Raw genomic sequence first — 8,970 nt, 5'->3', positions numbered from 1 at the left:
TGTAAGGTGGTATTTTGTAGTGTCTAAGAACATAATGTCAGGCTGGGCGTGGTGGCTCATGCCTGTAATCCTGGCACTTTGGGAGGCTGAGGCGGGTGAATCACGAGGTCAGGAGTTCGAGACCAGCCTGGCCAACATGGTCAAACCCCGTCTCTACTAAAAATACAAAAATTAGCTGGGCATGGTGGCAGGTGCCTGTAATCCTAGCTACTCAGGAGGCTGAGGCAAGAGAATTGTTTGAACCCGGGAGGTGGAGTTTGCAGTGAGCCGAGATCATGTTATTGCACTCCAGCATGGGCGACAGGGTGAGGCTCCGTCTCAAAAAAAAAAAAAAAAAAAGGACATAATGTCGAACCGGACTACCTCTATTGTATTCCTGACCAGGTTACTTCAAGACTAATTTTCCTTGTGTAAATTACTTAATTGGACCTAATGTAATAAGATAATGGGAATCTACACTACTTATTAATTTGCAAATTTTATTTATTTTTAAAATATCAGCTAGGACCCTTGGATTACCAAATCGAATCTCTGAAAATCTCCCCCAAAGGCAGTTAATATTCCAGGCAAAACTATAATATTAAATATTATGTGAACTTAAAGAATTGCATCCAATTTCCTTTCATTAGAAAAAAATACATAAAATTAATCAAAAAGATTATATTAAAGTTTTACCGACTAATTCCCTGAAAATGCTGCAGTTAATAAGAGGACTTAAAAAGGTTGACTCTCATTATTTAAAAACATCAATTTAATGACTTAGTGTATAAACATTATCAAATATTTCCACCATATATATTTCCATTCTGCATATGGAATATATAAACTAACAGAGAGGGTTACCACCTTATGCTCCACCTTTCAAGGGGAAGAGCACCGACTATGGATGGTAGGAAGACAGTGAAATAGTGTAATCAAGCAGCAATATTGTACCCAAATATCAAGTGAATTTATTATATCCCAATGGCAACTAATTTTTTCATGGAGAAAATTGTGTCAGAAGTATATTTCAAAGTGCATACGGTCAATTTAGTGCCAAAACTTTAGATATGATCTAGTTTTTGTTAAAGATACCATTGATTCAATCAGAAGAGGTCTATCACAAGCTATGATTATATTGTTAGCAAAAATCCAAAATAGGATCTAAGCAGAGCAAAGAGATAGGACAGTATATTGTTTCATTCAAAATCAGAATTTGAAAGCCTGTAATAGAAAACCACAAAAGTACAAGTCATTACCTGGAGATCATAAGGAAAATAAAAACATGAATAATCAAAATTATCTCCAGAAAGGGGAAGCTATGGTATAATTGTATGAGGGTGAGCACTGAAAATAGAAAAATACAACTTGACCAAATTTTATGAATATCATTTCATGAAAACAAAAACATAATTTGTAAAAGCAACTATTAATAATATTAATAATAGTAATACTTAAAAAGAAAACGACAGGCCAAGATGATGAAAGCTGGGGGCACATTTTAAAATAGCAAAAATATTTACAGAAAATAGCTGATGCCTATTTAATGCTAATGACTGGCAAGGTATAACTTGCAGTAATGTGAATTGGACCAGAAGATCAGAGTGTAACATGTAATACTCCAAAGTATGATAAATTAGAAGAAAGAACAGATATGTTGGTGGCTTTAATAAAAGATAATGTTGGCTGGGTGCGGTGGCTCACGCCTGTAACCCCAGCACTTTGGGAGGCCGAGGCAGGCAGATCACGAGGTCAAGAGGTCGAGACCATCCTGGCCAACATGTTGAAACCCCGTCTCTACTAAAAATACAAAAATTAATCGAGCGTGGTGGCGTACACCTGTAGTCCCAGCTACTCAGGAGGCTGAGGCAGGAGAATCGCTTGAACCCAGGAAACGAAGGTTGCAGTGAGCCAAGATTGCGCCACTGCACTCCAGCCTGGGTGACGAGAGCAAAACTCTGTCTCAAAAAAAAAAAAAAAAAAAGATAATGTTGAATATATAGAATGAGAAGAATCCGAAGGTAAATATGATGAGTTTGGATATAAAAAGAAAAAATGCAGAGGGAAGCCTGTTGGTCCTGCATCTATATGAAAGGAGGTTGAAGTAAAGAATCAGAGGGAGAAGAAGAGGATGAGGATGAAGATCTTTCTAAATATAAATTAGATGAAGATGAGGATGAAGATGATGCTGATCTCTCAAAATATAATATTGACGTCAGTGAAGAAGGCGATAGTAATAAAAAGAAATCTAATAGAAAAAGTCACTCAATATCTCAATCTTCACATTCACTATCTTCATCATGTTCATTCTCCCTTTCAAATTCAAGGTCTAGGTCCAGGTTCCCTTCAAGAAGTTCTAGTTCACAGTCAAGATCTTGTTTCAGTTCCAGAGAACATTTAAGATCCTCTGGGTTGAAATCAAGATCCAGTTCCAGGTCCCACAGGGGCTCACTAAACAACCCTGAGCCCAGGGCCAACCCTTACAGAACACATTACTTTACCCAAGCACCACAGGTCATCTTCTGGATCATTCCATTCTGGTTCCCATTCAAGTTCAAAAAAGAAATAAGGCATTAAAATGTATATCTTAATGAAATCTAATACAGTGCATGAAGCACATTTTTAAGGAAGTTGGTGTTTTTGATGGTCAGAAGTGCTAAATCTGCTAGTAGAGGTGCATGCCTTTCATCATGTTTCAGAACAATACAGCTGTGTTTATTTGTGAAGTTGAAAGTAAATAGCATTCTGTTAATAAGCCATAATGTCCCAAAATAGATGCTCTGTCATTCATGGTTTACAACCATTTGCTTCATTTAAAATCATCTCAGCTGTAACAAAGTATTGTTTCCTAATTAAACTCATTTTTCTCATTTCCACATATATCCTGTTTACTGGCTAAGACAAAATTATCTGGGGCTTGCCTGAACTTTTGGGCATGGAGGCAAAACTGGTAAACTAGTTGGAAACAACATGTTTATGTTACTCTGGGAAAAGAAGTCAACCTGTTTATGTTGTTAACCTATGTCAAAGTGATTCTTACCAAAAAAAGTTAAACTAAGTTGTAAAGCAGCCAATTGGAAATGGGTTTATTTTGAAATTTGCTGTACTAAGGGTGCCATGGAAACATTGTCTTTCTTTCATCAAGCTTTACTTTTTTTTGCACCACCACATTTAATGGAAAAGAATCTTGTGACTTGCAGAAGGAGAAAGGTGTGATTCATTTTCCTTTTCTCCTTTTTTTTTTTTTTTTTTTTTTTTGAGACAGAGTCTCACTCTTGTTGCCCAGGCTGGAGTGCAATGGCACAGTCTTGGCTCACCGCAACATCCACTTCCCAGGTTCAAGCGATTCTCTTGCCTCAGCCTCCCGAGTAGCTGGGATTACAGGCGTGCACCACCACACCTGGCTAATTTTGTATTTTCAGTAGAGATGGGGCTTCTCCATGTTGGTCAGGCTGGTCTTGAACTCCCGACCTGAGGTAATCTGCCCGCCTCGGCCTCACAAAGTGCTGGGAGTACATGTGTGAGCCACTGCACCCGGCCTTATTTTCCTTTCTGACACATAATTAGGGGCAAGAAAGAAAGTCTAACAGTTTATCTCTTCTTTTCTGATATGGTCGGTTGATAAGAAAAACATCTTATCTAAACATGTTTATCAATATTTTAAGAAGGTTTGTGTGATATTCTTTTAAATCTAGTTATCAAATGCTATAGGGTAGAAAAGGCGAAATCATAGTTAACGAGCAAATTGAAGTAAACTTTTGAAGTATATTTCTCTTTTGATGAAAGGCCAATGGAGACACTGTGAATTTAAGTGATGATTTGCTTCAAGATGTTTAACTATAAATGCACCACATGAAATTTTCTTCTGGATAATAAATGAATGCCTTTCTCTGCATGATATAAGCAAAAATTGTTATTTTTCCTATTCATTTGAGACTAATTTATGGCTTAAAATGCTTTCAGAGTTTATTTCTCAAAATTAAAATCTGGTCACATGAAGAAAACACGTTTTTCTTTGTTTCCTTTTTAGTGTAATTTTAATGACATTATTACCTGATGGCCTATGGTGGCATTACCACATTTCATTAGCTCTATTCCATGCCACTATGATCTTAAGCAAAATGCTTAAGATTGTCTAACATCTATGAGTAACATAATTTGGAGATAATAAATTTTGTTTATTATTTCAAGTGATAGATTTCATGTCATCACTGTTAATCAACATTTTTACCCTAGAATGGTAGTACACATTTTGAATTCTGAATAAATGAATTAACATATACTTGATGTAGTGCTTTTTAGTATCATATATGCACATATATACACTTTGTTTTACAGATATCCCCAGATACTTGAATTTTGCTTTCTACTCAGCTGTGTTTGAGATTATTTCCTCTCAGCTAGTGGTACTGCTTGTTTACAGTATTTTGGTATACACTTTCTCATTAGTGATTCTAGTTCTAGCTTGTTATATTATTGCATTCACAGCAAAGTATTCTTTACTGGAGCTTTTTAATTCAAAGACTCCTCTATCTCCCCTTTTCATTTAACTTTCCTGGAAAGGAATTGTCTATGATAGAGATATATTTCAGTTCTCTCAGCTAAGAATTTGGCACAACCATTTAGAATTTAATCAGAAATTCTAATTTAACTGCATTGGAGTTATACAGTTAACTATACTACACTCAATATTTTAGGTTCCTTAAATTAAGGATATTATAATGGCATATTGCTTTGTTCTAAAGAGCTGATACCTTTATTCTATGACTTTGAGTGGAAGCTGCCACAGAATTGGGATTATGATTTAAAGTGAGGTTCATGGTACCTGAAAAGTATTATGACATTGTACAGTACACTGTTTTTTTTTAAAGGAATAATGACTTCATTTTTTGAAAATGATATATGGGTAGAATTTAAACATTCAATCAATACAGAAGAGTATGAAGAGGAAAATGTAAACATTTTGCACAGAATATCATCTAGAAATAACTATCATTAATAGTTGGTGAGAAATATTTCAGTCATACATCTCATCTATGTAAATATACAGATAGAAAAGCAAATAAAAGTAAATCTAGATATAAATGGATAAAAGAATGGGTGAATGGATTGATGGATAGATAAATGGAAATATATGTTTTTCCAAAAATGTATTTATATATATATTTATAATATTTATATATACATAAACAAACCATAAGTAGTTTATAAGCTATAGTATGCAAATAAACTCTATATATAATTTTAATTTTAAAAATTTTAAGCTTCTTTTGCTTGATTTTGACAAAGAGGAACATTAATGCAGCTGAAGAAATTGATTTACTTAAGATAAATTTTTCTTTATTGCAAATGAGATTAGTATTTAAAACATACTTTAAATTTAAGAGAAATGATTTTGAAAGCCTTTAAATTGGTGTAACTACCTGACAGATTCATCTTGCCCGCAGCCCAAACAGAGCCAATTTATCAAGACAGGGGAATTGGAATAGAGAAAGAGTTTAATGCATGCAGAGGTGTCTAAATAAGAGGAGTTCTACTGCTCAAATCAGTCTGTCCGAAAATTCAGAGACTGAGTTTTTTAAAGACTGAGAAGGGGTTAGGCAGTGAGGACCTCAGTGACCTGATTGGTCAGGTCAGAGGTGACATCATAGGAGGTCAGAGCTGGTTCATCTTGCTGGCTTCTGTTCCTTGGTAGAATCGCATAACTAGCTTAACCACATTACCGGTCTGGGTGGCACCAGGTGATGCATCAGAATGCAGGGTCTGGAAAATATCTCGAACACCAATCTTAGGTTTTACCATAGTGATGTTATCACTAGGAGCAACTGGGGTGGTTCAGAATCTCATGGCCTCTGGTTGTATAACTCCTAAACCATAATTTCTAATCTTGTGGCTAATTTGTAAGTCTTACAAAGGTCGTTTTGTCCCCAGGCAAGAAGGCAGTTTATTTCAGAAAAGGGCTGTTGTCATCTTTGTTTCAAAGTTAAAGTGAAAACTAAATTCTTTCTATAGTTACCTCAGTCCAAGAACAGCAATGAACAAGGGCAGTTTAGGGTTAAAGGCAAGATGGAGTTGGTTAGGTCAGTTCTCTTTCACTGTCATAATTTTCTCACTATTTGAATTTTTGCAAAGACGATTTCATTGGGTTTTGTCTTTGACAAACAAAATGAGTGACTGAAGCTTAATTCTTAATCATCAAGGTTTATTAAGCGACTTTTAGGGCACAACTGGGAAAAACATGAGCCACAGATGTATCTGTGGCTGTTTTCCCGAAGAGGTTTTTCAGGAGGTTTAGTATTTATACATTTCATTAAGGGGACGAGGGGCGGCATGTAGAAAGAGGGACAGGTAGCCAGTTAGGTAAATACTTACATTCTTGTGAGACTTTAGTTAGTGCCCACTAAATCTACATTTTCCGTAAGTTAAAGTGAATGTCTGATAAGAAAAGGGGAGTAAAGAAAGTCAATTATGCAGACGTCTCTGGTAGGCAGAGGAATGAGTCCTGACTTTGTTCTATTACCTGGGAAGACAAAACCGTAATGACATTGTCAGTGTGGAATGGAACAGACTTTAGTTTTAAGAGCTACACTTAGATCTAAACTTAAAATTAGCATGTCTTTGTTTCTGAGAGGCCAGCCAATAACTTACTTATGAATGATCAAGGAAGCCTGATCCCAGATGCCTGAGGTCTTTTACCTTTCCATGGCAATCTGACTGATGCATAATGTTAGTAACAGCCATACATTTGGAAGAGAGTGTTGCAATCATCCTCCCTTTTGCATAAGAAGTTTGGGGGAACCTGAGATTTTGAAGTTTTTCTTTATTTCGTTTTAAAAAACTCAATGAGGTTTAATCTTAGGCCACTTCTCTTGTCTACCTGTAAGCTTGCCTCCTCTTACCTAATTTGTTATTTAAATGATTATTTTTACATTGTTAAGGGTTATACCATTTACATTGTCTTCTGTGTTTTTAATTTTAACAAGTCTTAGTAGCAATACCTAGGCAAAATAGATTTCAAGACAAAAACTATAAGAAGAGACAAACAAGGTCACTATATAATGATAAAGGAGTCAATTCTGCAAGAGGATGCAACAATTTAAATATATATGCGCCCAACATGGGAGAACCCAGATATATAAAGCAAATATTATTAGAGTTAGAGAGATAGGCACCAATACAATCAGACCTGGAGGCTTCAACACTCCACTTTCAGCATGGGAAAGACCTTCCACACAGAAAATCAACAAAGAAACATTGGACTTAATCTGCACTGTAGACCAAATGGATCTAATAGATATTTACAGAGCATTTCATCAAAGAGCTGCAGAATACACATTCTTTTCCTCAGCACATGGATCATTCTCAAGGTCAAACCATATGTTAGGTCACAAAGCTAGTTTTAAAATGTTCAAAAAATTGAAAGAATATCAAGTATCTTTTCTGAGCACAATGGAATAAAACTAGAAATTAATAACAGGAAGAATTTTGAAATCTACACAAACACATGGAAATTAAACAATATGTCTGAATGACGTGAATGAACTGATTAGCCAGTGGGTTAGGGAAGAAATTAAGAAAGAAATTGAAAAACATTTTTGAAACAAATAATAATGGAAACACAACATACGAAAACCTATGGGATACTGCAAAAGCAGTACTGATATGGAAGTTTACAGCTGTAAGTGCCTATATTAAAAAAGAGGAAAAACTTCAAATATACACTCTAATGATGCATCTTAAAGAACTAGAAAAGCAAGAGCAAACCAAATCCAGAATTAGTAGAAGAAAATAAATGATAAAGATCAGAGAAGAAATAAATAAAATGGAAATATTACAAAGATCAATGAAACAAAAAGTTGTTTTGTTGAAATGTTAAACAAAATTGAAAAACCTTTAGCTACACTAACTAAGAAAGAAAGTGAGAAGATAAAAATAAATAAACTCAGAAATGAAAAAGAAGACATTACAACTGATACTGTAGAAATTCAAAAGATCTTTACTGGCTACTATGAGCAACTATAGGCCAATAAATTAGATAATTTGGAAGAAATGGACAAATTCCCAGACACATACAACCTACACAGATTGAACCAGGAAGAAGTCCAAAACCTGAACAAACCAATACCAACAAATGAGATCAAAGCCGTAGCAAAATGTCTCCCAGTAAAGAAAAGCCTGGGACCCACTGGCTTCACTGCTGAATTCTACCCAACATATGAAGAAGAACTAATATCAATGCTACTCAAACTATTTCAAAAAATACAGGGGGAAGGAATAATTTCAAACTCATTCTACAAGGCCAATATTACCCTGATACCAAAAACACAGAAAGACACATAAGAAAAAGAAAAAGGCCAATAATTCTGATGAATATTGAGGCAAATATCTTCAACCAAATACTAACAAACCAAATTCAACAATACATTAGAAAGGTCATTCATTATGAACAAGTGAGATTTATCACTGTAATGCAAGCGTGGTTCAAAATACTCATATCAATCAATGTGGTGTATCATATCAATTGAATGAAGAATAAAAAACGTGATTATTTTAATTGATGCTGGAAATCATTTAATAAAATTCTTGCAATCCTAGTCTCTGATAAAACAGACTTTAAACCAACAAAGATCAAAAGAGACAAAGGAGGCCATTACATAATGGTAAAGGGATCAATTCAACAAAAAGAGCTAACTATCCTAAATATATATGCACCCAATACAGGAGCACCCAGATTCATAAAGCAAGTCCTGAGTGACCTACAAAGAGACTTAGACTCCCACACAATAATAATGGGAAACTTTAACACCCCACTGTCAACATTAGACAGACCAATGAGACAGAAAGTTAACAAGGATACCCAGGAATTGAACTCAGCTCTGCACCAAGCAGACCTAATAGACATCTACAGAACTCTCCACCCCAAATCAATAGAATATACATTTTTTTCAGCACCACACCACACCTATTCCAAAATTGACCACATACTTGGAA

General features: G+C 35.1%; 1 pseudogene; it reads left to right on the top strand.

Moving 5' to 3' along the window:
- Positions 1–346: 346 nt before the first annotated feature.
- LOC101928508 (zinc finger Ran-binding domain-containing protein 2-like) lies at positions 347–2,548 on the top strand (annotated as a pseudogene).
- Positions 2,549–8,970: the final 6,422 nt, after the last annotated feature.

Source organism: Homo sapiens, chromosome X (assembly GCF_000001405.40).
Source record: "Homo sapiens chromosome X, GRCh38.p14 Primary Assembly".
Lineage (NCBI taxonomy): Eukaryota > Metazoa > Chordata > Mammalia > Primates > Hominidae > Homo > Homo sapiens.
This window is presented reverse-complemented; position numbering and strand designations above follow the sequence as displayed.